The sequence below is a fragment of the Homo sapiens genome, chromosome 7, assembly GCF_000001405.40.
Source record: "Homo sapiens chromosome 7, GRCh38.p14 Primary Assembly".
In the NCBI taxonomy this organism is placed as follows: Eukaryota; Metazoa; Chordata; class Mammalia; order Primates; family Hominidae; genus Homo; species Homo sapiens.
In genome coordinates, this window is record NC_000007.14 from 100,888,705 (window position 1) to 100,915,553 (window position 26,849).

Consider the following 26,849-nt stretch of genomic DNA (forward strand, 5'->3'; position numbering starts at 1 on the left):
AGAGTAACTCCTGAGGTGTTGCTCAGCCCTGCCACTTTTATTATTGATGTCAAAAGCGCCAGGCTTTGCAGGGACACCAGTGGGAGGTACATAGGTGCGTGTCTGGGACCCGAGAATCTCAGTTCTGTAACTTCGTCCTCAGTCCAAGGTGCGCTGCTGCTGTTGGGAGCTAAGGCTGGTCAAGCACAGGTTGTAGAAGGAGTTGGGGTCAAAGGCTGCACTCACCTCTTGCCAGCCCACCCACCCAGCAGCCTGTAGTTCACTGGGGCTTTTTGGAGTGCCCCAGTAGTGAGGGTCCAATACCAGGACATAGGCTTCCGTGCCTGACCCTACGCAGACTCCCAGCAAGGCCTTGGACCTGGCATCTGCGTCCCCCCCAACCATGACTGGGCCCCCACCCCCTGCGAAGTGCGAGTAAAGCCTCTCCAGCTCCCCGTGCAGCCCCACTCCCCGGGGTACGTGGCAGAGGCGTCCCTGGGGCCCTCCGAAGTGAGCGAGGCAGAGGCTGGCCTCCACGCAGCCGATCCAGTCCCGGGAGCCCCGGAAGCCGGGGGGCTTGTCGCCCATGTCCTCCAGGGCCGCCTGTACGGCGGCCAGTCCAGGTACGCCCGCGGGCTGGCCCTCTGGCCACGAGCACAGCGTCTGCAGAGTGCGGTAGCCGCAGCCCCAGCCGCGGTCGTCCAGGCCGTCGCAGCCGTAGTGGTAGTAGAGGTAGTGGCCCGAGAGCAGCGCCAGGCGGACAGGGCCGCGGCTCGGCGGGGACAGGCCCACGTGGACGTCCCTCAGCGGCTCCAGGGCGGTGGGCGGGAGCGGAGGTCCCAGGCCAGGCACAGCGTCCTCCTAGCGGCGCGGAGCGACCTCAGGCTCCAACACTTCCTTTCGGCTCCGGGTCTTGGGCCAGCTGCCGCAGGACCGGCGCGCAGACTGGGGACGCGCTCCCCGGGCCTCGTTGATCACCGCAGGCCGCAATAGGCAGCCACCGACCGGCACCGACCGAGGAGCTCCCACAATGCTCCGCCGCGCCCCGCCCCGCCCCGCCCCTCCCCTCCCCTCCCCTCCCCTCCCCTCCCCTCTCCTCCCCTCCGCCGTGCCAGCTAGCCTGCCTGCGGGCCTCATTACGCAGGCGCGAGCTCCGCCCGGCAGGGCAGGGCTAGGGGTTGGCCTTTGCCTTGCGCCCGCCTCGGAGCTCGCCTGTTTCTTGCCCTCCAGCCCCGCTCCTGCATAGACTCGGCCCCCGTGATTCCGGCGTTCTGCCTCTACCCCTGGCTCCCTAGTCGCGCACACTCCCGTGGCTGTAACAGTTTATTGGCAGCCCAGAGGGGCGAAGGCACCGCGGGGGAGGGAGCTCAGCCTGAGACATGCAGAGGACCGGGAGCCCCGGGGGACGTCGGGGTGGGGTGGGGATGGGCAGAGTCTGGGGCTCGTCTGTGTTATAGCCCAGCCCTGAAATAAATAGTATATACAGCTAGGGGGCCGGGCGGAGCGGAGGACATGGGGGTCCCGCCGGGGTCACAGGTCTGAGCAGCGATCCTGCTTGCTGTAGTGGTCGAACTGGTTCTTCCAGTGCACCATGTAGGAGCTCCAGCGGTGGAACTCGGCCTTCCACTGGCGCTCCGCCTCGTCGAGCGTGTCTGCGGCCAGGGCGCCCAGCGAGGCGGGAGGGGAGGACGGCACGAGGAAGGTCGGGGATCGGACATTTGGGCGGGTTGAAGGGGGGGTATGAGTGCAGGGAGGACGCACGGAGAAATGCAGGCGACCACGTGGGACGGTGGCAAGAGGATCAGGAGAATGTGCGAAAGACGAGAGGGAGGATGAGGGCAGAGGCGGGGCCGGAGAAGGACAGCAGGAAGGAGAGAGGAGGAGAAAAGAATGACCGGAAGACGGGAACAGAGGGGACAGGAGGGGGAGGTTGGGGGAAAAAGAAGAGACAGAAATGGTTGACCGTTATAGCCCCAATGGGGGGTGCTACCCCGTCCGGGGCCTCCCACTTCCCCCCAATGTCAGGCTCAGGTTCCAAAAGATAATTTTATAAAAGAATACTGGCTTTTCCATTTCCATTCAAACAACAAAGGCGTGGGGGTCCCTGAGAAGGGTGGGAGGCACGGCCCCCTCCTCCTGCCCTGTCCAGTGTGAGTCTCTCGGTTTGAGGAGGAAGGGAGCACTAGGTCTGAGATCCCTGAGTGGGGCCCTTCCCCACGGTCCGACCACTCATTAGAGGAGGGGCCCCTGTGGCCGTAGGGGAAGAGGCCGTGTTCACAGCCGCCGGAGGTGGGAGAGGAAGAGGAGGAGAAGCTGGTGGAGGAGGAGGAGGGGCAGGGGGAGGCCGGGCCTCGGAGCAGCCTCCCCATGGGTGAAGCCTGGGCAGGTGCTGGGAGCCTCCGAGGCTAGGGGGAGAAGAGAGGGGTTACACCTGGCGGGCTCCCACTCCCCTCCTCCCAGCCGCTGCCCGCTGGCCCCTGCATACCGGTGGCGCTGAGCAATTTGGGGAGGAAGCGGTTCCAGAAGGCGCAGGCCTGGGCGCGCAGCCCCCGCCGCACCTCCAGCGGCCGCAGGTCCAGACTAACGTACTGCTGAGCCCCCGCCGTGTACGGGGGCCATTGTGGGGCCTTGGGGTCTCGGGGCTCATTGGGATCCCTGCGGAAGGAAGGGAAGGCTCAGTCCAGACGGGCAGTGGGAGGAGGTGGCCCCCAACTCCACGGGATCCCGGACTCTTCAGCTCAGCGGAGAGCCCCAGAGAACCCGTCCCCTCCCTCCCACCACTTTCTCCAATGTGCGCGGTCATTGGGGTCTTCCCTTCCTCAAGCGCTCCGTCTCCTTCCGTTTCCCTCAGCTTTTCTGTTCCATCTTTGTTTCTCTCACTAAAAAAATGGCTAGGATGTCTTGAGACTTTCCTAAATAACCAGGACGGGTCCTATGTCTACAAACATCACATTTTTTAACAACACCCATCCAATGCTAGATTTCATTGTCCTCTTCTCGATCCAGGTAAACTGGTGTGTGTGTGAGAGAATGTGTCACTGCTAGTGAATCATCACTGGTTTGACTTAATCCAGCTCCAACTCCTTTGTCTTGGTCTCCCTTTTTTTTTTTTTTTTTTTTTTCCAGAGATAGGGCCACTCAGGCTGGAGTGCAGTGGTGCCATCATAGCTCACTGCAGCCTCAACCTCCCAGGCTCAAGCAATCCTCCTGCCTCACCTTCCCAAGTAGCTGGGACTAGAGGCACGAGCCACCGTGCCTGGCTAAGTTTTGTATTTTTTTTCTTTTTAAGAGTCGGGGTCTTGTTATGTTGTCCAGTCTGGTCTCAAACTCCTGGCCTCAGGGGATCCTCCCACCTTGGCCTCCCAAAGGGCTGGAATTACAGGGGTGAGCCACTGTGCCCCGCCCCCTCCATGTCTACCTCGTCTCCTCCTCACTTTCCTTTGCCTCTGTCTCTGCAAGACCCCCTCTGCCTTCTCTGTCTCCTTTCTTTTTCTCTCCCCTTTTATCTACTTTGTGAGCATATCCCTCTCTGGCTGTTCTATCCTGCCCCTGTCCCACCCGTCCTTTCTGTCTCCGTGTGTCTGCCTTTGTGTGTCCTCCCGCCCCCGACTCCTGTCCTCCCCAGCCTTCTCTCCCTCTGCACTGCTGACCCTGTGCGGGCAAAGTTGGCCCAGTATCGCATCAGTCGCTGGGCGAAGATTTTCTCCTCTGCCGTGTAGTTTCGAGAGGGGTCCAGGGGGATCCCAAAGATGAACTCGATCTCGTAGCCGTGGGGCACCCCCATCCACAGGGGCCAGGAGAGCGTGGAAGCACGGTGTTCAAAGACGTAGGCGTAGACCCGGGCACCCTGGGCAGCCAGTCGCCCAGCCAGCTGGGCCACGGGGCACACGACATTGTGGTCGCCCACCACATCGCTCAGGGCCTCCCTCAGGCGTGCCGGGTCCTCGGGATGCAGCCAGTCTGTGTAATGCAGGACCACAGCCTCGGCTGCCAGGTCACTTACCTGGGGAACCCCGACCCGCACCCCGGCCAGGAACTCGGCCCGGCTGATGAGAGACTCGTTGTCTTTGCTGAAGCCTGGGGCCCCGTAAACCAGAAAATACGAGCCCTCATCCTTCACCACACCCACCAGCACCTGGGGGTGAGGGAGAGGGGGGTGGGATGGAGCGACAGGCACAGACAGACAAGTAGACAGAAACAGATGGACAGACAAAGAGCCAGAGAGATGAACAGTTACAGACCCGGAACCATGGACAGAGAGAGGACGAGATCAGGGGAGGGATGCAGAGAAAGAGAAAATAGACCCATGGTGGCTTTCCTGTCTGCCCTGCTGACCACCCTGGGATCTGAGCCCTCAGGGAGGACTTCTGGGACTTCTGGGAATGGGCCTGGAGAAGCCCTCATGCCTGGGTCCCTGCAGGGAGGGGAGGGACCGTTGGGACCCAGAGGAGCCAGCTTCACGCCAGCTAGCCACTAGTTACCTGCAGGCCGTGGAAGTCTCCCGCGTTGATGAGGGCCTCTGGGGTGTCACTGAGGAAGTCTCCATCTACCACAGGCACGAAGGAGAACCGGAAGACGCTTTCTTGAGGCAGCACGTGCCATTCGTGGTTCACCAGGACCTGCGCTGGTCGTGTCCGAAGGCAGGCTACCAGCTCTGTGTCATTCCCACCAGTGCCGCCTGGAGGACAGCCCACAAGGTGGGCCAGCTGCGTGGCCCTGCGACGGGCCTCTCCCATGCCCACCGTGGCCCAGGGTCCATTGGGGGCACCGCTCTGCAGCACGGCCCTGTGGAACAGGCCCCGGCTGGGCGGGGACAGCAGGTGCATGCCCACCGAGGCGGCTCCCGCGCTCTCCCCAAACAGCGTCACTGATGTCGGGTCACCCCCGAAGGCTGCCACGTTCTCCTGCACCCACTGCAGGGCCAGCCTCTGATCCAGGAGACCCACATTGCCCGGGGCCTCTCGGCTCCCCGGCAGGGCCAGGAAGCCAAAGGCTCCCACCCGGTAGTTCATGGACACCAGCACAGTCCTCTCGGCCTGTACCAAGAAGCGGCCATCGTACACGTCCAAGGAGGAGGCCCCACTGTAGAAGCCACCCCCATAGATCCAGACGAGGACAGGGGTGGGGGATGTAGGCCGGGGGTATGGTGTCCACACGTTGAGGTACAGGCAGTCCTCGCTCAGCTCACGGTTGGGGTTCCACATCTCGGTGCCCTCAAAACCTGGGTATAGGGTGTCCACATATTGGTAGCAGACACTCTGGAAGGTTGTAGCGTCTACCACCCCTGACCAAGGCTGCTTGGGCTCCGGTGGCAGAAAGCGACGGGGTCCCATGGGTGGCTCCGCAAAGGGGATGCCCAGGAAAGCAGAGACAGGGCCCCCGGGGGTCTTCAGGCGAATGCCCCGCAGCCGGCCCCCACGCACCGTCACCAGCAGCTCTGCATCCTCCCGGCCCTCAGCCCCCACTCCTCCACCCAGGAGCCAGAGGAGGAGGAGAAGGAGTGGGGAAGCCAGGGAAGGCGTGTGCAGCAGACACTGCGGGGGCCTCATGGCTGCAGGGCAGGCGGCGTCTGCTGGGAGAAAGAAAGGGAAAGGGTGAAGGGTCGGTCGAGAAGCCAGGAGGGAGGAGATTAGGGCACTGTCGGCCCAAGGGTTATCGCTCAGCTGCAGAGGAGGTGGGGCAGGTTGGCAAAGATGAGGGGAGAGAGGGAGGGAGGGAAGGAGACAGGCAGAGACAAGGACACAGGCCAGCGGGCAGGAGGGGAAAGAGATCAGGCAGACACCCATATCCAGACAAATGCAGGGAACAGAGAGGAGCACCCTCTCTGCTCCGCAGGGGTCCACTGCCCTCACCTCTTCCCGGAACTGGGCCGGGCCCAGCTCGTGCAGTGAGGGCACCAGAAGCCTCAGTCCACGAACAGGCCACCCGACAGGGCGCGGCCTCACGGACGGGCAGCGCCGCTGGGGGAGCTTGCGGCGGCCTGAAGCGCAGCCCCGCTCTCCTGGGTCGGCCAGACCCGGGGCCCTGGGGGGCGGTGGGCTGGGCATTCAGGGTGTGGAAGCCTCAGGTCCCGGGGTCCCCCAAATCCTGCCTAGTCCACTCCCCACCCAACCCTGCCCCTTCTCATCCAATGTCTGGCACCGAGCGCTGATGCCCGCGGGTTCCCATCAGCTGCGCACGCTCCCAGCCCAGCCCCAGCAAACAGGCTCGCCAGCCCGCGTCCCCCAGGACTCGAGAGCCCCCCATCCGTCTGAAGCTGCCGTGCACGCCGCCGCCGGCGGAGGGCAGTAGAGACCGAGAAAAGGTCGGCGCTCCCCGCCCCGAGCCAGGAGCCGGGAACTTGGGGAGGGGGCCTGGGGGCTCGAGGGCCTTGCAGAGCCGCCTGAAGGGCGAGCCGGGACGCCTGCGTTCCCGGGACTCCGGAGATCCCCGGCTGCAGGGGCGGGGGCGCTATTTTGGGGGCAGCAGCTGCTACGGTTCCGGCATCTCCAGCCAAAGGATCAAAATTCCCCGGGTGGGAACTCCCCCCTCTCCCGCCGGTCACTCCTAGCCCAGCCCCCGCCGCCCTGAGCGGGGGGTGGTGGTGCTGCTGGAGATTAACTAGGAAACCCGAGTGGCGCTAATTATAACTCGGGGCTTCCGCCGAGCCTCCCCTTCCCAAAAAATAGAGATGGAGTCTCCGCGGGAGGGGGCGTCCTGGGCCTCGGAGGGGGCCTCTGCGGGGCGCTGCGCAGGGGCGCTGGCTTGTGGCCCTGGGGATGGGGGTGCCCAGCCCGGCGCCGGGAACCTGCGCAGCTCGGGTACCGCCCCAATTAGGGGGTGTCTTCCAGTGGCCCCGGACTAGGGAGCGATCGGGGAAGGGGTGCTCGGGGGTCCCCGCGGGAATCGGAGCGCAGAGGCGGCGGCCGTTCCCGCGGGCTCGGGCTCCTGCGTGGGCGTCGGTGAGTGTGAGGCGGCCGGGGAAGAGTTCCGGACGAGTGCGGGGCAGCGGAGGGCGGCGCGGGGCAGGCCCGGGGAAGCGGGAGCCGTCCCGTTAGGGGGGCCTGGACCCCTCGGGGAGCGCACGGTGCCCCGGACCCGGGCCTTAAGGAGAGTCCCGGGCGGGGAGGGAGACTCACCTGAGGCGGCCGAGCCGGGCCGGGCCGGGCCGCGCCGGGAGCTGGAGGCGGCCGATGTTCCCCGGCGCAGGCTGAGCCGACTCTGACAGCCGCCGCCTCCGGCCCCCCGCACACACCCCCTCCGGGCCTCACAGCGCCCCCGCCCGCCCCCGCCCACTGTCTCCGCCCCCGCCCCTCCCCGCTCTCCCGGGTGGCCACCTCCCCTCTCTCTCCCTCCCTTGGAGCCGAGACCCGGAGACCCCGGGGCCCAGACGCACTCCAGTGCCAGACGCCGACCGACGACAGAGCGCAGTGACAGACGCGACCCAAAGACCTGCAGCGGCGGAGTAGACACCCACGTGACAGACAGACGGACAGAAGCCCGTGGAGACAGACACGCGCAGACGGACGACCTCATGCAGTGACAGGCACAGACAAACGCAGGGACGACTTTCACAGACGGACGGACACACTTGGACACCCTGTCGGTCTCGCTCGAGGCTGGTGAAGTTAGCGCAAGGCCAAGGGGTCATGCATCCCCGGCCACGACACAGACGGGTGGCATGGGAGGAGAGGCATGTGGGAGTGTGGCAGAGTACCGTCCCCTTAGGGGTCCAGGTGGCACGGGTGCAGAAAAGGTGACGTGGGACACTCCTGGGGATGAAAGGACACCTGTGGGAATGGAGATGTAAAATGGGATCGCTAGTGGAAATGAGGTGGGAGGGCATGGAGACAGGAGACCCCTGGGGGAGGAAGGGGTGACTTGGGACACCTGAGAAGGCAGGACAGCGTGGTAGCACGCGCAAGGCTGCTGGGCGAGGCCGCACTCCGCGGCGGCAGTGGAAACTTCTGGAACCCCCGCGGGTGGGTCTGTGCTGGTTCCCTGACGGGTGACTTCGGACTTTCGTCACCAGGGTCCGGTCGGGGCATGACATCACCAGGCCTAGCATTCATTGGCCACGCGGCTGGCAGGTGGGAGCGGCCTGGCTCGGGCGCCCCCAGCCTGCTCCGAGGGGCCTGACCCGCGCAGATTGCCCCCCGCCCCGCCCTCCAGGAGTTCACCCGTGTGGACAGGGCTGCTGCAGCGGGGTCCCCACGACCGAGGTGCATGCGGCAATACCGCGCGGCGCCTGCTTCCTGGAGGCGGCCGGCTCAGGAGCCCCCGAGACCCCGCGTGGGAGAGCGGCCGGCGCAGGCCAGCGTCGGGCGTGCGTGCGCGCGCGCGGCGGTGCGGGGCGCGGCGTGGGGTGGGCGCGTGCGCACACGCTCGCTCTAACCGCCGCGCGCCCCGCAGCGCCCCGCAGCGCCTCGGGCACGCGGGCGCCGCCGCCAGGGACCGCGGGCACCGGGTTGCGGGGCCTCGCAGGGGTTGAATCCGGAGTCTTGCCAGTCCCTGGGCCGCGCGGTTCCCGGCTCTCCAAGCTGGGCGGGCCCCACGCCCGCTCGCCCCACGGGAACCGGGTCCCGCAGGCACGGTCACCCGCGCTCCGCTCGCTGGAGACGGCCGCCAGGTGGCGCAAAAAGCAGCCACTCGGGCCTCGGAGACTGGGCTGGGTTGGGGGTGTTGGGGAGGTGAACCCCTCGCCATCTGTGCCCACTGTCTCCGGCTTTCCCCGCCCCAATCTCAGGCAACCCCAAATCCCCTGCCTGGACACCGAGGCTCCTTGTATCCGGCCTTCAGCGTTCTGGCCGCACTAGTTGAAGGCTCCTCACTGGCCAGACCATGTGCCCTAGTTGAGATCCCTGAAGAGCAGATGTAAGGGCTGTGCATGGGGGAGGGGACAGGAGGGTGGATGGTGGGTGTTGCTGCGGGGGGAATGAATCTGAGGCAGGTTTCTAAGCGTGGTAATTATGAATTATTAAAATGATGGGGCCGCGTGTGGCCCCTAGTGCGGTGCCTGTAATCCCAGCACTCTGGGAGGCCGAGACAGGAGGATCGCTTCAGTCCAGGAGTTGGAGACTAGCCTGGGCAACATAGCGAGACTCCCTTCTCCGCAAAAAAATAAAATGATGGAAACAAACTGTGAACGAGTGCTCTGAGGCCTGCCCCAGTCCTGAGGCTTTAGGGATTTTTGGCCCTGCTAGTGATGAAGGCTTGCCCCTGTCACCCTCCAGACGAACTGTGCCACGCAGGTGTCACCTAACCTCTGTCGTCACGAGTTTCTAGGCCTGTACAATGAAGATAGGGAGGGCAGGGATAGTTTATCACCAGGGTTATCATTTCCTGGAACTATCCCTCTTTTCACCTTGAGCTCTCAGCAACCGTTGTCAACACAGGCACCTAACCTGTCAAGCCAGGAGGCGTTTCCCTACATAGTCTAGCATAGTAAACTCCCCACCCTCCACAGCTGTCACTGCAGGGATGTCCTTGATTTTTCCCATTTCTTCTCTCACCATTTCTGTTTATCCAGGAATGAGCCTTGCTTCTACTACCAGTTCTGCCAATTCAGAGAATTTCCCTACCCCTCTTTTATCTCTGTCTCCCACCTTGGAAGGAAGCGCCATTTTTTTTTTTTAGACAGAGTCTCGCTCTGTCGCCCAGGCTAGAGTGTAGAGATGATGCCATCTCAGCTCGCTGCAACCTCTGCCTCCTGGGCTCAAGGATTCTCCTTTCCCAGCCTCCTGAGTAGCTGGGACTAGAGGCGCCTGCCACCACACCTGGCTAATTTTTGTATATTTAGCAGAGGTGGGGTTTCACCATGTTGGCCAGGCTGGTCTCGAACTCCTGACCTCAGGTGATCCTCCTGCCTCAGCCTCCCAAAGTGTTGGGATTACAGGCATGAGCTGCCATGCCTGGCAGGGAACCCCACTTCTATTACAGACCTTGATCCACATCTTCTAACACAAAAGATTCTTATTTCCTCTATTTATTGGTTAATATTCAATTCAGCTGTATGAGACCAAAAACCAAATAATGGCTTTAACAAGATATAATAGAGGCCGGGCATGGTGGCTCATGCCTGTTGTAATCCCAGTATTTTGGGAGGCTGAGGCAGGCAGATCACCTGAGGTTGGGAGTTCAAGACCAGCCTGACCAACATGGAGAAACCCTGTCTCTACTAAAAATACAAAAAAATTAGCTGGGCATGGTGGCCCATGCTTGTAATCCCAGCTACTCAGGAGGCTGAGGCAGGAGAATCGCTTGAACCCAGGAGGTGGAGGGTGCAGTGAGCGGAAATCATGCCATTGTACTCCAGCCTGGGCAACAAGAGCGAAACTCTGTCTCAAAAAAAAAAAAAAATAATAGAAATGTATTTCTTGGGCCAGGTGCAGTGACTGTCGTCCCAGAACTTTGGGAGGACAAGGAGAGAGGATCACTTGAGGCCAGGAGTATGAGGCCAGCATGGCCAATGTGGTGAGACCCTGTCTCTACAAAAAATAAAAATAATTAGCTGGGTGTGGTGGTGCATACTTATAGTTCTAGCTACTTGGGAGGCTGAGGCAGGAGGATCACTTGAGGCCAGGAGTTTGAGACCAGCCTGGGCAACATGGTAAAACCTTGTCTGTACTAAAAATACAAAAATTAGCTTGGTATGGTGGTGCGTGCGTGTACTCCTAGCTACTTGGGAGGCTGAGGCACAAGAATTGCTTGAACCTGGGAGGCGGAGATTGCAGTGGGCCAAGATCTCGCCACTGCACTCCAGCTTGGGTGACAGAGGGAGACTCTGTCTTAAAAAAAAAAAAAAAGAGACCTAGAAATGAGTCTTGCAGGGTTGGCATGGTGCCCTCAATGTCAGGGTCCAGGCTTCTTTACACGGAACCCTGTTGCTCCTTGCACAGTATCTTGTTACTGCACCATCTTCAGCATGTGACTTCTACCGCATGGCATAGAATGGCTGCTGGAACATCAGCCATCACATCTACATTCCAGCCAGCAGGAAGGAGGAGGGGCTGAAGAACAGTATCTCCTATTTATTTATTTATTTGACAGAGTCTCACTCTGTCGCCCCAGGCTGGAGTGCAGTGGCACTCGGCTCACTGCAACCTCCACTTCCCAGGTTCAAGTGATTCTCCCACCTCAGCCTCCTGAGTAGCTGGGATTACAGGTGCGCACCACCATGCCTGGTTAATTTTTTGTATTTTTAGTAGAGATGAGATTGCACCATGTTGGCCAGGCTGGTCTCAAACTCCTGGCCTTAAGTGATCCACCTGCCTCAGCCTCCCAAAGTGCTGGGATTACAGGCCTGAGCAACCATATCCGGCCGAACTCTTCCTTTAATGATGAGCCTTTGCCCAACCCCCCATTAATCGAGATTGTAACCTGGCAGAATTGGGAGCCTGAGGCCACACAAAGGACTTTCCTCCCTCTACCCACCCCTTCCTATGTCCCCTACTTAATGTTGGGCCAGCCTTCCTGCTGGATCCAAGTTACGTCATCCTACACAGGATAGGATGATTTCTCTTTGCGGCTTATCCATCCTTTTTACCCTTTTCTCTCTTGCTAGTTATGAGCATTTCACACATTTTTTATAGCTTGTCTCTACAAAGTCTTACTTTATTTTCACAATTTTGTTATTTATTTAACGAGTATACAGTATTTCCCATGCAATTCGCCAAATAACCTTTTGCTTAGTTTAGCCTCTTTTCTGGCCGGGGGTAGAGTGGAGTGCGGGTGGCATACCCTTGTGCTCAGAATTTTTTTTTTTTTGGTCTCATTCTGTCACCCGGGGTTGGAGTGAAATGGTGTGATCATATCTCATTGCAGCCTTGAAGTCCTGGGCTCAAGCAGTAACCCTCCTTCAGCCTTCTGAATAGCTGGGACCACAGGTGGCACCACCATGCCCAGCTAATTTTTAAATATTTTATTAATTTGTAGAGACGGGGTCTTGCTATGTTGCCCAGGCTGGTCTTGAACTCCTGGGCTCAAGCGATCCTCCCACCTCTGCCTCCCAAAGTGCTGGGATTATAGGTGTGAGCCACTGCGCCCGGCCATCAGAACTGATCAGTACTTTTCTTGGCATTCCTTTTTGCCCATGAACTTGAGTGCTTCTGAAAGGAGTGAAATATGCAATTTAATTCACCAGTAGTACATTGAACGCCATGTTGCCACTCATCTTCCCTGGTATGACCTGACATCCATCTGACATGGTCCCTGGCATGCTGGTCCAACTGGCTGTCAGTTCCTGGTCTCACAGGTTCCAGCCAACCCTGACTCGGTTTTCAGTTTAAATGTTAGCAGTGCATCTTGAATGGCTTCTTGGAAATAGCTGGTGAGGTTACACTAGGTGCTATAGATGTTTGACACCCAGAGAGCTCCTGGTCACTCCTGGCTGCCCTGCAGGTATCAAGTGGCCAAGTGAGAGCTGTGCCGGAAGCACAGGTTCCATAGATGACCTTGGCTGGGGTTTCCAGGGACACTGAGTATTTAACACAAGATTGGTGCAGAAGTGAGGAGGACTGGTTTGGGATTCTGCCACCTGGCTTGGGGACAGTGCAGGCTGGCTGTGAGGTTGGCCCAGTGGTCAGCTGGATCCCTTAAATGTCCACAACACTGGGGACAACAGGGTGGAGTGGAAGAGTAGCCCAGATCCAATGTTGCTTTCACAGTAGCATGTATGGGGAAGAAGAGCTTGTTTGCCAGCCGCTTCCTGAATGCTTTGCTAAATATCATTTCATTTAATTCTCACTTGTAGCATTCAAATGGGGTAGGCTGTATTTTCTTTGCCTTTTTTTTTTTTTTTTTTAGACGAAGTCTCGCTTTTGTTGCCCAGGCTGGAGTGCAATGGCATGATCTTGGCTCATTGCAACCTCTGCCTCCCGGGTTCAAGTGATTCTCCTGCCTCAGCCTCCCGAGTAGCTGGGATTATAGGTGCATACCACCACGCCCGGCTAATTTTTTGTATTTTAAGTAGAGACGGGGTTTCACCATGTTGGCCAGGCTGGTCTCGAACTCCTGACCTCAGGTGATCCGCCCGCCTCGGCCTCGCAAAGTGTTGGGATTACGGGCGTGAGCCACTGCGCCCAGCCCCAGTGGGTAGGCTGTATTTTCATTACAATTTTTTTTTTTTTTTTGAGATAGAGTCTCACTCTGTCACCCAGGCTGGAGTACAATGGTGTGATCTCGGCTCACTACCTCCTGGGTTCAAGCGATTCTCCTGTCTCAGCCTCCTGAGTAGCTGGGATTACAGGCGCATGCCATCACGCCCAGCTAATTTTTGCATTTTGAGTAGTAACGGGGTTTCACCCTGTTGGCCAGGCTGGTCTCCAACTCCTGACCTCAGCTGATCCACCTGCCTTGGCCTCCCAAAGTGCTGAGATTATGAGCATAAGCCACCACACCCAGGCTATTTTTAGTACAATTTAACAGCTGGGAAACTGAAACTGATGCCCAGAGGCATTAACATACAGGTAATCATACAGAGGTTGTTTCGTTTCATCAGCTGGTAAATTGCAGGCTTTGGACTTTGGGTGAGAACTCTGACCTGGATGGGCTGGGCTGTTTTGCAGCGACTCTCTCCTGTAACTTCTGGAAAATCAAGTAGAGTCTCTCAGGCCCTCCTGGCCCCTCCCTTCCAAGGAGAGAGGTGTGGGGTGTGTGCATTGTTGCGGGGTGGGGGTCCCTGCCCAAGTCCCTGTGCTTCCTGGGAGATGATTATCTTCTGCCTCCCATTCTCCCCCAAGTTCTTCCTCCTCTTTTTTTTTTTTTTTTGAGACAGAGTCTCACTCTATTGCCCAGGCTGGAGTTCAGTGGTGCGATTTCCCCTCATTGCAACTTCTGCCTCCCGGGTTCAAGCGAATCTCCTGCCTCAGCCTCCTGAGTAGCTGGGATTACAGACGCGTGCCACCACACCCAGCTCATTTTTGTATTTTTAGTAGAGACGGGGTTTTACCATGTTGGCCGGGCTGGTCTTGAACTCCTGACCTTGTGGTCTGCCTGCCTCGGCCTCCCAAAGTGTTGGGATTACAGGCATGAGCCACTGCGCCCGGCCCGAGTTTAAATATTGAGATGACAATTACTTCCTAGCCCCTCTCTGCGCCTGCCCTGTCTCCCTACCCTTCCTCTCCCTAACTGACTTAGAGACTGGGGCTCTGCCACAGGGGAGGGTGGGGAACCCTGGGGTCCTAGAGTGGTGGCATGTGGGCAGTGGCAGGTGCTTCCTCCCCTCCTCACTAGAGAGGTGCCCAGCAGGGCCAGGGTCGGGGCTGGGGCTGTGCTGGGAAGCTTTGGGCCATTGACACATGGGAGCTACAGCAGAAAATGGATCAGCTCAGAACATCTGGGGGCTCTCTGCATCTAGGGCGGGACTCCTCCTCCTTTATTTTTAAATTTTTAATTTTTAAAAAAGAGATGGGGGTCTCACTCTGTCACCCAGGCTGGAGTGTAGTGGTGCGATTGTAGCTCACCGTAGCCTTGACCTCTTGGGCTCAAAGGATCCTCTCACCTCAGCCTCCTGAGTAGCTGGGACTACAGACCCATGCCACCAAGCTTGGCTATTTTTTTTTTTTTTGGATAGATACAGGGTTTCGCTATGTTGCCCAGGCTGGCCTTGAACTCCTGGGCTTGAGCGATCCTCCTGCCTTCAGCCTCCTGAGTAGCTGGAATCGATTACAGGTGTGAGCCACCGCGCCTGGCTTCCCTACTTTCATTCAGTTGTGACACCCTCCCATCCTCGTCCTGGGCGCACTTAACAAATGTCTGTGCTGCAGGCAACAGTGATGGCGGGAAATGAGAGGGGAAAGATCTTAGATGAGTGGGGAGAAGTTATTTCCTGGCTGGGGAATATCCTTTTTTAAGTTACATTTTGGGCCAGGCACAGTGGCTCATGCCTTTAATCCCTGTACTTCGGGAGGCCGAGGTGGGTGGATCGTTTGAGCCCAGGAGTTTGAGATCAGCCTGGGCAACATAGGGAGACCCCCTTCTCTACCAAAAATACAAAAATTAGCTGGGTGCGGCGGTGCGTGGCTGTGGTCCCAGCTACTCAGGAGGCTGAGGTGGGAGGATGGCTTGGGCCTAGGAAGTCAAGGCTGCAGTGAGCTGAGATCGTGCCACTGCACTCCAGCCTAGGGGATAAAGGGAAACCCTGTCCTAAAAAAAAAAAAAAAAAAGTTATATTTTATTTATTTGGACAGTTAGTGAATTCATAAAATTGAAAACGTATAAAGTGAAAAGTTCTCCTCTTCCCTGCCTTCCTCGACCCAGTATTCATTCCTAAAGCAGTGTTAACTGTGGTCCTATATTGCATATATTACCCACTTTTTTTCTTCATTTTTTTCTGTAGCCCAAACAGGTACATGCATATATCATCAACAGGTATTTTTCTGCCCTGAATCCATGTTTTTACATAATTGTAGCATCCTTTACACACTCTTCTGTACTTGACTTAAAAAAAAAAGAAAGAAACCTAGCTAACAGTGTATCTTAAGGATAGTTCCAGATTTGTACATCATAGACTTTCTCATTTTTTTTTTTTTTTAGACGGAGTTTAGCTCTGTCACCCAGGCTGGAGTGCAGTGGCGTGATCTCCAATCACTGTAACCTCCGCCCCCCAGAGTTCAAGCGATTCTCCTGCCTCAGCCTCCCAAGTAGCTGGGATTACAGGCGCCTGCCACCACACCTGGCTAATTTTTCCATTTTTAGTAGAGGCAGGGTTTCTGCATATTGGCCAGGCTGGTCTTGAACTCCTGACCTCAAGTGATCCACCTGCCTTGGCTTCCCAAAGTGCTAGGATTACAGGCATAAGCCACCACACCTGGCCCTCATTCTTTATTTTTTGCCTGTTTAATGAAAAGCTGCATACTTTATATTGCATGAAAGTAACATAATTTTATTTATTTATTTATTTATTTGGAAACGGAGTTTTGCTCTTGTTGCCCAGGCTGGAGTGCGATGGTGCGATCTCAGTTCACCACAACCTGCGCCTCCCAGGTTCAAGCGAGTCTCCTGCCTCAGCCTCCTGAGTAGCTGGGATTACAGGCATGTGCCACCACTCTCGGCTAATTTTTTATTTTTAGTAGAGACGGGGTTTCTCCATGTTGGTCAGGCTGGTCTCGAGCTCCCGACCTCAGGTGATCTGCACGCCTTGGCCTCCCAAAGTGCTGGGATTACAGGCATGAGCCACCTTGCCCAGTTGAAAGTAACATAATTTAATTTGTCCCCTACTGATGAGCATTTAAGTTGCTTTCAGTTACTTGCTATTACAAACTTAGTGCACAAATAATTTTGCAGTGTTGCAAGTATATCCCTGGGATAAATTCCTCAACATGTATTACTGGGTCACTAGTTATTGGTTGCCTATAGTTTTGCCAACATAGTATATTTAAAAGTAAAATAAAATTGGCTGGATGTGGTGGCTTATGCCTGTAATCCCAGCACTTTGGGAGGCTGAGGTGGGAGGATCGCTTGAGCCCAGGAGTTCAAGACCAGCATGAGCAACATAGTGAGACTCCCAGCTCTCCAAAAAATAAAAAATTGCTGAGTGTGCTGGCTTGTGCCTGTAGTCACAGCTGCTTGGGAGGCTGAGGTGGGAGGATCGCTTGAGCCCAGGAGTTTGAGGCTGCAGTGATCTGTGATCATGCTACTGTACTCCAGCCTGCATGAGAGAGTGAGAACCTGTCTCAACAAACTCCAAAAACAAAACAAAAAAAATTGTCCCATTTAAGAGGTGAATGGTATTTCAGTACAGCTTTACTTTATTTATTTATTATTTATTTTTGAGACAGAGTCTTGCTCTGTCACCCAGGCTGGAGTGCAGTGGCACAATCTTGGCTCACTGCAACCTCCGCCTCCCAGGTTCAAGCGCGCTCCTGAGTAGCTGGGATTACAGACGCGCGCCACCATGCGCAGCTCATTTTTGTATTTTTAGTAGAGACGGGGTTTCACCATGTTGGCTAGGCTGGTCTTGAACTCCTGACCTCGTGATCTGCCTGCCTTGGTCTCCCAAAGTGCTGGGATTACAGGCGTGAGCCACTGCACCAGGCCAGTTACTTTATTTTTTTAAAAATTAAAAATTAATTAATTTTTAAATTAATATATTTAATTCAGTAAGCATTAAGGGTTTAATTAGCTTAATTTTTCCTATTTCTTTTGAGACAGAGTCTTGCCCTGTCACCCAGGCTGGAGTGCAGTGGTGCTATCTCGGCTCAGTGTAATCTTTGCCCACTGCAATCGCTGCCTCCCGGGTTCAACTGATTCTCTTGTGTCAGTCTCCCGAGTAGCTGAGATTACAGGCATGTGCCATCATGTCCAGCAAATTTTTGTATTTTTAGTAGAGACGGGGTTTTGTCATGTTGGCCAGTCTGGTCTTGAACTCCTGACCTCAGGTGATCCACTCACTTTGGCCTCCCAAAGTGCTAGGATTACAGGCATGAGCCACCGCACCTGGCCTACTTTCTATTATGAGGAAATTTGAGCATCTTTTCATGTGTTTTCCAGTTTTCCGGTTTATTAAGTTCCGCTCTTATCTTTATTAACGTCTATGTGCTCTCTCAGGTTTATAGGTTTATTTTATTGTTTGTTTTACAACTTCTGGAATTGGATTTCTAATTAATTTTATTTATTTATTTATTTTTTAGAGAGGGGCTCTTGCTATGTTGCCCAGACTGGAGTTCAGTGGCTATTTACAGGTACAATCCTACTACTGATCTGCAGGGAGTTTTGACCTGCTTTGCTTCTGACCTGGGCAGGTTCACCCGTCCTTAGACAATCTGGTGGTGCCCCGCTCCCAGGAGGTCCCTACATTGATGCCAAACTCAGTGCAGACACTGGATTGGCATAGTGCACTATAGCTCAGAATTCCTGGGCTCAAGTGATCCTCCCACCTCGGTAGCTGGGTCTGTAGGTGCGCCACCACACTTGGCTGTTTATTTATTTTCATTCTTATTTATTGACCTAATTACTTTAATGCTATACATTGTCCTCTAAGCATTGCTTTTGCTGTATCCTGGAGGCCTTATCTGTATTCTTTTCATTATTTCTATTTTCTTTTTTTTTTTTTTTGAGATGGAGTCTTGCTTTGGCAACCAGGCTGGAGTGCAGTGGCGCGATCTTGGCTCACTGTAACCTCCGCCTCCCGGGTTCAAGTGATTCTCCTGCCTCAGCCTTCTGAGTAGCTGGGATTATAGGCGTCTGCCACCACAACTGGCTAATTTTTGTATTTAGCAGAGATGGGGTTTTACCATGTTGGCCAGGCTGGTCTTGAACTCCTGACCTCAGGTAATCTGTCCACCTTAGCCTCCCAAAGTGCTAGGATTACAGGCGTGAGCAACCATGCCCGACTAGTGCCCTGTGTTTTGGACACTTCCTCATTCTTTGTCTTTCATGACCTTGACACGTTTGAAGACCACTGGCCAGTTACTTTGTAGAATGTCCCTCAATTTGGATTTGTCCCAATCACTGGGTTAATAAGTATCACATTATTTATATTAAAAATTTTTACTTTTTTGAGACAGAGTCTTGCTCTGTCGCCCAGGCTGGAGTGCAGTGGTGTGATCTCGGCTCACTTGGCTCACTGCAGCCTCCACCACCCAGGTTCAAGTGATTCTCCTACCTCAGCCTCTCAAGTAGCTGGGACTACAGGCACCCACCACCACGCCCGGCTAATTTTTGTGTTTTTCGTAGAGAGGGGGTTCGCCATGTTTGCCAGGCTGGTCTTGAACTCCTGACCTCAAGTGATCCACCCACCTGGGCCTCCCAAAGTGCTGGGATTACAGGCGTGAACCACTGTGCCTAGCCTTGGTCTTCATTTAATCTGAGATGAACAGTGGATGGAAGCATCTTTTTTTTTTTAGATGGAGTCTCACACTGTCTCCCAGGCTGGAGTGCAGTGGCACGATCTCAGCTCACTGCAACCTCCATCTCCCGGTTCAAGCAATTCTCCTACCTCAGCCTCCCAAGTAGCTGGGATTACAGGCACCCGCCACCACACCCAGCTAATTTTTGTATTTTTAGTAGAGATCGGGTTTTGCCATGTTGGTCAGGCTGATCTTGAACTCCTGACCTCAGGTGATCCTCCCGCCTCAGCCTCCCACCGTGTTGGGATTACAGGTGTGAGCCACGGCACCCAGCCGGAAGCATCTTTTTTCTGTTTGTTTTGTTTGTTTGAGACGGAGTTTTGCTCCTGTTGCCCAGGATGGAGTGCCATGGTGCAATCTCAGCTCACTACAATCTCTGCCTCCCGGGTTCAAGCAATTCTCCTGCCTCAGCCTCCTGAGTAGCTGGGATTACAGGCATGCGCCACCACACCTGGCTAATTTTGTATTTTTTAGTAGAGATGGGGTTTCACTATGTTGGTCAGGCTAGTCTCGAACTCCTGACCTGAAGTGATCCACCTGCCTCGGCTTCCCAAAGTGCTGGGATTACAGGCGTGAGCCACCACGCCTGGCCGGAAGCATCTTAAAATGTAAAACTGCAGATGCAGGTTTAGCAATTTAGACGCTTGCACCCAAGATGCACATATTACTAGAGCAATGCCAAACAAATGTGATTCTGTGGGGTTTCTGTTTGATTTTTAATTTGGAAGGGATTCTGGCTGAGTGAGGTGGCTCACATCTGTAATCCCAGCACTTTGGGAGGCTGAGGTGGGCAGATCACTTGAGGCCAGGATTTTGAGACCAGCCTGGCCAACATGGTGAAACCCTGTCTCTACTGAAATTATAAAAATTAGCTGGGCATTGTGGTGGGCACTGGTAATCCCAGCTATTTGGGAGGCTGACACAGGAAAATTGCTTGAACCTGGGTGGCAGAGGTTGCAGTGAGCCGAGATTGTGCCACTGCACTCCAGCCTGGGCGATAGAGCGAGACTCCGTCTCAAAAGAAAAAGATTCTAAGGCATGGCAAATAAGATTTAAAAATTCTGTTGTACAATACTATGTCACATCTCAATGTGACTTAAATGTAGGAATTATAACCAGGATGTCCTTCAGTCCTTGGATTTCTCCAGCCTTCATTTGTTGATATAGTTTGGATGTTTGTCCTTTCCAGATTGCACGTCGAGATGTAATCCCCAGTGTTGGAGATGAGCCCTGGTTGGAGGTATTTGGCTCATGGGGGTGGATCTCTCATGAATGGTTCAGTGCCAACCCCTTGGTGCTGTTTCTGCAATAGTGAGTGGGATCTGGTTGTTTAAGAGTGTGGCACCTCCCTCCCGCACTCTCTCTTGCTCTCTCTCTTGCCCTGTGACATGCCAGCTCCCCTTCAACTTCCCCTGTAAGTGGAAGCTTCCTGAGGTCCTCACCAGAAGCAAATGCTGGCACCGTGCTTCCTGTACAGCCTGCAGAACCGTGAGCCAAATAAACTTTTTTTCTTTATAAATCACCCAGTCTTAGGCATTTATAGCAATGCAAGAATGGCCTAACACGTTTGTTTTGCAACTGTGAGTGTGAATCAACATATTGGTTCTTTTCAATGCTCAAAACATTGTGCTTTAATTGTGAGACACATAAGGCTGGCATATGGGTTGCCAAAATTATGATTCTTGAAAGTCCTGGCAGATATTTCAAAGTAAAATAATGAAAATTTATAGAAAGGAATTGAGGAATAAAAGAATTTAAATAAGAATAAGTTTAATAAATTTAAGTAAGAATTTAAGGCCAGGCGTGGTGACTCATGCCTGTAATCCAGCATTTGGGAGGCCGAGGTGTGTGGATCACCTGAGGTCAGGAGTGTGAGACCAGCCTGGCCAACATGACCAAACCCCGTCTCTACTAAAAATACAAAAATTAGCCGGGCATGATGGCAGGTGCCTGTAATCCCAGCTGCTCAAGAGGCTGAGGCAGGAGAATCACTTGAACCTGGGAGGTGGAGGCTGTAGTGAGCCAAGATCGCACCACTGCACTCCAGCCTGGGTGACAGAGTGAGACTCTGTCTCAAAAAAAAGGCTGGGTGTGGTGGCTCATGCCTGTAATCCCAGTACTTTGAGAGGCCGAGGTGGGTGGATCACCTGAGGTTAGGAGTTCAAGACCAGCCTGGCCAACATGGCAAAACCCTGTCTCTACTAAAAAATACAAAAAATTATCTGGGCCTGGTGGCGGGCGCCTGTAATCCCAGCTATTTGGGAGACTGAGGCAGGAGAATTGCTTGAATCTAGGAGGTAGAGGTTGCAGTGAGCCGAGATCGCACCACTGCCCTCCAGCCTGGGCAACACAGCGAGACTCTGTCTCAAAATAAATAAATAAATAAATAAATAAATAAATAAAAAGGTGTTCGGCTCTATAAAGATCTACTTTTCCCCAAATCTATTTTTTTCTTTTTAAGGGACAGGGTCTTGCTCTGTCACCCAGGCTGTAGTACAGTGGCATAATCATAGCTCACTGCAGCCTCAAACTCCTGGGCTCAAGTGAGCCTCCCACCTCAGCCTCCCCAGTAGCTGGGACTACAGGTGTGTGCCACCCCGCTGGGCTAATTTTTGCATTTTTTGTAGAGAAGGGGTCTTGCTATGTTGCCCAGGCTGGTCTCGAACTCGTGAGCTCAAGCAATCTGCCCGCCTCAGCCTCCCAAAGTGCTGGGATTACAGAAGTGAGCCACTGTGTCTGGTCTACGTTTTTATTTTAAATTGAGCATTAAGGGAATGCAGTCTTTTAATCAGAACTCTGCCAATGCTTTTTATCTAGATGCCTATTGCCACTTTTGTCTTCTATGAAATTTTTGTCTCAAGAAAAGCAGGATTACATTTTTTTTCCTTAACAGATTGAGTTGGTGATGTGTATTCTTGGTTACCAAAATGCTCACATAGCTTTAGGTTTTGAATGGGTAAATATTCATGATGCGTGAAAAAGCATAATACGTATTGTGTGATCTCAGTCCTATGAGATTGGATGTTCTGCCTACACCCAGGACCCTAGAAGGAATGTCAAGCTGTAAAATGCTGGTGATTGTGGATGACTTTGTTTTTTGCTTCCTGTTTTTCAATTTCCTTTTTTTTTTTTTTTTTTTTTTTTTAGGCGGAGTCTCACTCTGTCACCCAGGCTGAAGTGCAATGACGCAGTCTTGGCTCACTGCAACCTCCGCCTCTTGAGCTCAAGCGATTCTCCTGCCTCAGCCTCCTGAATAGCTGGGATTACAGGCACATGCCACCACACCCGGCTAATTTTTGTAATTTTAGTAGAGATGAGGTTTCACCATGTGGGCCAGGCTGGTCTTGAATTCCTGACTTCAGGTGATCCACCCGCCTCGGCCTCCCAAAGTGCTATGATTACAGGCATGAGCCACTGTGCCCGGCCTATTTCTTCTATCTAATTGTATTTTTGTAGCTATCAACCAACCTCTCTTCACTGCCCCCTCCCTACACTCTGATAACTGTCAGTCTACTCTACCTCCACGAGGTTCTTCCTTTTTTTTTTTTTCTGAGACAGAGTCTTGCTCTGTTGCCCAGGCTGGAGAGCAGTGGCATGATGTTGGCTCACTGCAACCTCCGCCTCCTGGGAGTCAAGTGATTCTCCTGCCTCAGCATCCCGAGTAGCTGGGATTACAGGTGTGCAGCACCATGCCCGGCTAATTTTTGTATTTTTAGTAGAGATGGGGTTTCACCATGTTGGCCAGGATGGTCTCAAACTCCTGACCTCAAATGATCTGCCCCCCTCGGTCCCCAAAGTGCTGGGATTACAGGCATGAGTCTCACTGGCGTGAGAATTTAGAAGCACCTCTCCCACCCGCGCCCAGCTGGCCTCTTCTAGAATTTTATATAAATGGAATAGTCATATTGTCTACTATTTGACTTTTTTCACTATCCTAATGTTGTTGCAATTCTTCCAAGTCAGTTCACATATATTTCATTCCTTCTTATTGCCAAAGAGGATTCCATTGTATGGATATACCAAAATTTATCCCTTCACTATCTGATAACCTCCCTTCTTAATTTTTAGCTATTATAATTAGTACACTCAAAACTTGTGTGTGTATACATGTTCATTTCTCTTAAGTAAATACCTAGATCAAGATAATCAGGCTGGGCGAGGCAGCTCATGCCTGTAATCCCAGCCCTCTGGGAAGCTGAGGCTGGAGGATTGCTTGAGCCCAGGAGTGTGAGACCAGTTTGGGCAACATGGTGAAACTCTGTACAGAAAAATAAAAAAAATTAGCCGGGTGTGGTGGTGCATGCTTGTAATCCCAGCTACCCAGGAGGCTGAGACAGGAGGATTGCTTGAACCCGGAAGATTGAGGCTGCAGTGAGATGTGATCACACAACTGCATTCCAACCTGGGTAACAAAATGAGACCCTGTCTCAAAAAAAAAAAAAAAAAAAAAAGAGATGGCGGGGCACGGTGGCTCATGCCTGTAATCCCAGCACTTTGGGAGGCTGAGGCAGGTGGATCACCTGAGGTCAGAAGTTTGAGACCAGCCTGGCCAACATGGTGAACCCTGGTCTCTACTGAAAATACAAAAAATTAGCTGGGTGTGGTGGTGGGTGCCTGTAATCCCAGCTACTTGGGAGGCTGAGGCAGGAGAATTGCTTGAACCCGGGAGGCGGAGGTTGCAGTGAGCTGAGATTGTGCCACTGCACTCCAGCCTGGGCGACAGAGCGAGACTGTTTCCAAAAGGAAAAAAAAAAAGATAATCAGTAGGACCAAGACATGGGAACAAAGACTGTTCGCTGCTCTCAACAGACGCTACTCAGTGCCACCATGAGCTTGTCAGGTAAACGTCCAAAGAGAGAGGGAGGAAAGAAAAAAAATATTTTAGCCACCTAGAATTACAAGTAGTTCTACACATTTTACTTAAAAAAAGAAGGAAAAAAGGTACTGATTATCTCGCGGTGGGGGGCGTCCCCAGAGAGGCTGCTGGTTGGAGACACAGGGCGCCTTTCCTCTTCCCACTTTCCCTCTTGTCAGCCAGAGACAAAGAACTCAGGCTTCAGGTGGCTCAAAACGTAAAGGAAGAAAAAAAAAGAAAAAAAAGAAGCCGGGCACAGTGGCTCACGCCTGTAATCCCAGCATTGGGAGGCTGAGGTGGGCAGATCATGAGGTCAGGAGTTCGAGACCAGCCTGACCAACATGGTGAAACCCCGTCTCTACTAAAAATACAAAAATTAGCTGGGCATGGTGGTGGAAGGTAATCGCCATTGCACACCAGGCTGGGCAGCAAGAGTGAAACTCTGTCTCAAGAAAAAAAAAAAAAAAGAGAGAGAGAGAGAGACTGCTGCTTCAGGAAGTTAGAAGTCCAAGAAAAAAAGGAGAACTTTAAACTTTAAGTATTGAGCAAACACCAGGTCTAGCAAACATAATGTTATCTCTAGATTACTTATTGATTAATGAGCAAACCTGTAGGTACAGGGAGAAAATAAAAGGTGACTAACTAAATTATATATACATATAAAATATACATACATAATATATGTGATATAATACATATATTACTGTATAATATATACATATGTACACATATGTGTGTATATATATTAATATATAATACATTATATATTATTATATGTACCATATAGGTATACTACATGTATATTCTATACACATTATATATGTATATATAATTTATCTAGTCACCTTTTATTTTCTCCTTGTACCTAGAGGTACAATATATATGGTTAAATATATTGTATATATTATATACAATATATTATATATGTAGATATGTATACCTTATATGTACATATGTATATTATATGTAACAATATATATGTAGATATGTATACCTTATATGTACATATGTATATTATATGTAATACATTATATGTATTATACATATATAATATACATATGATACATATATAATATTTTAATATAAATATAAACAGATAAATTTAGTATACAATATATTTTCCATAGTTTGATTCAACTGGAAATTCAAAATTCATATAACAAAAATATAAAAAAGGACACTGGGTTTTGTGCCTCTACAATGTAGGTTCTAACTTTAACCTTTCAAAAAATGCACTAGGCCAGGCGTGGTGGCTCACGCCTGTAATACCAGCACTGTGGGAGGCCAAGGTGGGAGGATTGCTTTAGGCCAGGAGTTTGAGACCAGCCTGGGCAACATAATGAGACCCCTGCCTCTACAAAAAAAATTAAAAAAAAAGTTAGCCAGGCATGGTGGCGAATGGCTGTTGTCCCAGCTACTCTGGAGACTGAGGCAGGAGGATTGCTTGACCCCTGGAGGTTGAGGCTACAGTGAACCATGATAGTGCCACTGCACTTCAGCCTGGGTGACAGAGGGAGACCCTGCCTCCAAAAAAAAAAAAAAAAAAAAGAAGGAGCCCCATCCTACATACCAGATGCCAGACAACATCACCCCAAAATCTCACTGCTGTAGATGCCATCATCTCAGACGACATCACCCCAACCCAGGGCCTTGACACTAGAGATGACTTCACCCCTTACGCTAAACCTTCACTCCTTGGGTGGTAAACCTAGGTCACGCCCATGGATTCACCTCTCCTAAGACACAAATGGACATAGGACATTTTTACTTTTCTTTCTGAACTCCCTGCCTGCATAGGCTATGATCTTAGTACGCTGCTTGCTCTCTGCTCACATCCATCCCTAAAAGAAACTCTGGCCATGTGCAAGCCAATCTGGAAGCCATGCCAGTGTGTGACAGCATCATTACACTCTGCTCTAGGTCCAGAGTTGATCTGTTCCCTTGGCGCCACCCTAGGCGGTGGAGTGGGTGGCTGTGCATGGGATTTCAGGTCAACTGGGTGCCTTCATATGCTTCAACTGTTTACGCTCATCCAAGGCCTTACTCAGCATGGCACGTAGCCCAGACTTCTCTGATAGCCTTTAATATCCACACCATTCGAACGGTACCCGTTGGAATATGCACAAGGTCTCACGCCTAGGTCAGTGGTATTAGGAACAACAGACCAAAGGTTGCTGGCTAGACTTTAGAAGTAGATCACCACATCCACATGGGCCAAGCTGGTAGCCAGAATATGAACTTAAAGGCGCCTCTCTCACCCAGCAGGCTGGGCTCCCTGCATTCCCGCCACTTCCTTTATTTTTATTTATTTATTTATTTATTTATTTATTTATTTATTTATTTTGAGATCGAGTCTCGCTCTGTTGCCCAGGCTGGGGTGCAATGGTGCGATCTCAGCTCACTACAACCTCTGCCTCCCAGGTTCAAGCGATTCTCCTGCCTCAGTCTCCTGAGTAGCTGGGACTATGGGCGCAAGTGACCAGGCCTGGCTAATTTTTATATTTTTAGTAGAGATGGGGTTTCACCAGGCTGGCCAGGTCTCGAACTCTCTACCTCCACGAGGTTCTTTCTTTCTTTCTTTCTTTGAGAGAGTCTTGCCCTGTTGCCCAGGCCTCGAACTCCTGACCTCAAGTCTCAAACTCTTCTCTTCAAGTGATCCACCCGTCTCGGCCTCTTGGCCTCCCAAATTGCTGGGATTATGGGCATGAACCACCGCGCCCAGCCCCCACCACTTTCTTTAAGTGGAGCATTTAGACATCTGCCCTTGAACTTCAAGTGACTGGCACTGTATTCCCCTCTCTATATATGTACTGCTAGTTGCCACATGCTCTCTCCACTCGACTCTACTCCTATTCTCTCTTTCTCTACTTGACCTGGGGATGGAGGACTGTTCTCCTAACTCATGGTGCCCTCCTGACTCATGGTGTTTTCCCAACTCATGGTGCCCTCCTGACTCATGGTGCCCTTCCTGCCTAGGAGGCCCTTATTTATTGTCTGTAAAAAATCTCTGGGGCCAGGCACAGTGGCTCATTTCTTTAATCCCAGCACTTTGGGAGGCCAAGGCAGGAGGATCACTTGAGCCCTGGAGTTCAAGACCAGCCTGGGCAACATGGTGAGACTCCATCTCTTTTTTTTTTTTTTTTTGAGATGGAGTCTCACTCTGTCGCCCAGGCTGGCGTGCAGTGGCA

General features: G+C 53.0%; 2 protein-coding genes and 1 pseudogene across 12 annotated transcripts, besides 14 other annotated features; all 3 read right to left on the reverse strand.

Moving 5' to 3' along the window:
• UFSP1 (UFM1 specific peptidase 1) lies at nucleotides 17-1,011 on the reverse strand. Of its 2 annotated transcripts, none has more exons than NM_001015072.4 (1): nucleotides 17-1,011. In NM_001015072.4, the coding sequence occupies exon 1, from the start codon at nucleotides 565-567 to the stop codon at nucleotides 139-141; it is 429 nt and encodes a 142-aa protein (NP_001015072.2). In that variant the 5' UTR covers nucleotides 568-1,011; the 3' UTR covers nucleotides 17-138. Both variants share the same exon structure in this region, with proteins under 2 accessions (NP_001015072.2, NP_001417873.1).
• Nucleotides 1,035-1,084: a silencer, noted in NCBI's record as "silent region_18467". NCBI's record gives its function as "represses an Ori minimal core promoter by ATAC-STARR-seq in GM12878 lymphoblastoid cells {active_cell/tissue: GM12878}" and the evidence as "EXISTENCE:reporter gene assay evidence [ECO:0000049][PMID:35858748]".
• On the reverse strand, nucleotides 1,290-8,290 carry ACHE (acetylcholinesterase (Yt blood group)). Of its 10 annotated transcripts, none has more exons than NM_001367919.2 (5): nucleotides 7,849-8,290; nucleotides 4,461-5,548; nucleotides 3,630-4,114; nucleotides 2,465-2,634; nucleotides 1,290-1,631 (listed from the first exon to the last, which is right to left on the reverse strand). In NM_001367919.2, the coding sequence occupies exons 1-5, from the start codon at nucleotides 8,024-8,026 to the stop codon at nucleotides 1,510-1,512; spliced, it is 2,043 nt and encodes a 680-aa protein (NP_001354848.1). In that variant the 5' UTR covers nucleotides 8,027-8,290; the 3' UTR covers nucleotides 1,290-1,509. The 10 variants fall into 10 exon arrangements, 8 of the variants coding, with proteins under 8 accessions (NP_001354848.1, NP_001354847.1, NP_001289551.1 ...); NM_001367918.1 differs by having other exon boundaries at nucleotides 4,461-5,551; NM_001302622.2 differs by lacking the exon at nucleotides 7,849-8,290 and adding an exon at nucleotides 7,355-7,425.
• Nucleotides 1,504-2,237: an enhancer, noted in NCBI's record as "NANOG-H3K27ac-H3K4me1 hESC enhancer chr7:100487829-100488562 (GRCh37/hg19 assembly coordinates)". NCBI's record gives its function as "activates a minimal SCP1, AML or CMV promoter by ChIP-STARR-seq in naive H9 embryonic stem cells {active_cell/tissue: H9 hESC(naive)}" and the evidence as "EXISTENCE:reporter gene assay evidence [ECO:0000049][PMID:30033119]".
• Nucleotides 1,504-2,970: a biological region, named in NCBI's record as "NANOG-H3K27ac-H3K4me1 hESC enhancers GRCh37_chr7:100487829-100488562 and GRCh37_chr7:100488563-100489295".
• Nucleotides 1,955-2,014: an enhancer, noted in NCBI's record as "active region_26393". NCBI's record gives its function as "activates an Ori minimal core promoter by ATAC-STARR-seq in GM12878 lymphoblastoid cells {active_cell/tissue: GM12878}" and the evidence as "EXISTENCE:reporter gene assay evidence [ECO:0000049][PMID:35858748]".
• Nucleotides 2,176-2,333: a silencer, noted in NCBI's record as "fragment chr7:100488501-100488658 (GRCh37/hg19 assembly coordinates)". NCBI's record gives its function as "represses an EF-1alpha promoter that drives an FKBP-Casp9 reporter gene in an ReSE screen in HepG2 liver carcinoma cells {active_cell/tissue: HepG2}" and the evidence as "EXISTENCE:reporter gene assay evidence [ECO:0000049][PMID:32094911]".
• Nucleotides 2,238-2,970: an enhancer, noted in NCBI's record as "NANOG-H3K27ac-H3K4me1 hESC enhancer chr7:100488563-100489295 (GRCh37/hg19 assembly coordinates)". NCBI's record gives its function as "activates a minimal SCP1, AML or CMV promoter by ChIP-STARR-seq in naive H9 embryonic stem cells {active_cell/tissue: H9 hESC(naive)}" and the evidence as "EXISTENCE:reporter gene assay evidence [ECO:0000049][PMID:30033119]".
• Nucleotides 2,405-2,454: a silencer, noted in NCBI's record as "silent region_18468". NCBI's record gives its function as "represses an Ori minimal core promoter by ATAC-STARR-seq in GM12878 lymphoblastoid cells {active_cell/tissue: GM12878}" and the evidence as "EXISTENCE:reporter gene assay evidence [ECO:0000049][PMID:35858748]".
• Nucleotides 3,251-3,990: an enhancer, noted in NCBI's record as "H3K27ac-H3K4me1 hESC enhancer chr7:100489576-100490315 (GRCh37/hg19 assembly coordinates)". NCBI's record gives its function as "activates a minimal SCP1, AML or CMV promoter by ChIP-STARR-seq in naive H9 embryonic stem cells {active_cell/tissue: H9 hESC(naive)}" and the evidence as "EXISTENCE:reporter gene assay evidence [ECO:0000049][PMID:30033119]".
• Nucleotides 3,991-4,729: an enhancer, noted in NCBI's record as "H3K27ac-H3K4me1 hESC enhancer chr7:100490316-100491054 (GRCh37/hg19 assembly coordinates)". NCBI's record gives its function as "activates a minimal SCP1, AML or CMV promoter by ChIP-STARR-seq in naive H9 embryonic stem cells {active_cell/tissue: H9 hESC(naive)}" and the evidence as "EXISTENCE:reporter gene assay evidence [ECO:0000049][PMID:30033119]".
• Nucleotides 6,976-7,025: a silencer, noted in NCBI's record as "silent region_18469". NCBI's record gives its function as "represses an Ori minimal core promoter by ATAC-STARR-seq in GM12878 lymphoblastoid cells {active_cell/tissue: GM12878}" and the evidence as "EXISTENCE:reporter gene assay evidence [ECO:0000049][PMID:35858748]".
• Nucleotides 6,976-7,621: a biological region, named in NCBI's record as "H3K27ac-H3K4me1 hESC enhancer GRCh37_chr7:100493326-100493946".
• Nucleotides 7,001-7,621: an enhancer, noted in NCBI's record as "H3K27ac-H3K4me1 hESC enhancer chr7:100493326-100493946 (GRCh37/hg19 assembly coordinates)". NCBI's record gives its function as "activates a minimal SCP1, AML or CMV promoter by ChIP-STARR-seq in naive H9 embryonic stem cells {active_cell/tissue: H9 hESC(naive)}" and the evidence as "EXISTENCE:reporter gene assay evidence [ECO:0000049][PMID:30033119]".
• Nucleotides 7,086-7,235: a silencer, noted in NCBI's record as "silent region_18470". NCBI's record gives its function as "represses an Ori minimal core promoter by ATAC-STARR-seq in GM12878 lymphoblastoid cells {active_cell/tissue: GM12878}" and the evidence as "EXISTENCE:reporter gene assay evidence [ECO:0000049][PMID:35858748]".
• Nucleotides 8,458-8,537: a silencer, noted in NCBI's record as "silent region_18471". NCBI's record gives its function as "represses an Ori minimal core promoter by ATAC-STARR-seq in GM12878 lymphoblastoid cells {active_cell/tissue: GM12878}" and the evidence as "EXISTENCE:reporter gene assay evidence [ECO:0000049][PMID:35858748]".
• Nucleotides 17,587-17,868, reverse strand: RN7SL549P (RNA, 7SL, cytoplasmic 549, pseudogene; annotated as a pseudogene).

Bases quoted from the DNA above. Each gene is read 5' to 3' on its own strand.
- ACHE (NM_001367918.1), bottom strand. From the start codon at position 8,026: ATGCTAGGCCTGGTGATGTCATGCCCCGACCGGACCCTGGTGACGAAA. The intron at 4,115-4,460 runs GTAACTAGTGGC...CCTCACCCCCAG, and splicing joins GAGACTTCCACGGCCTGCAG to GTGCTGGTGGGTGTGGTGAA. The intron at 2,635-3,629 runs GTCAGCAGTGCA...TTCCTTCCGCAG, and splicing joins GCCAACTTTGCCCGCACAGG to GGATCCCAATGAGCCCCGAG.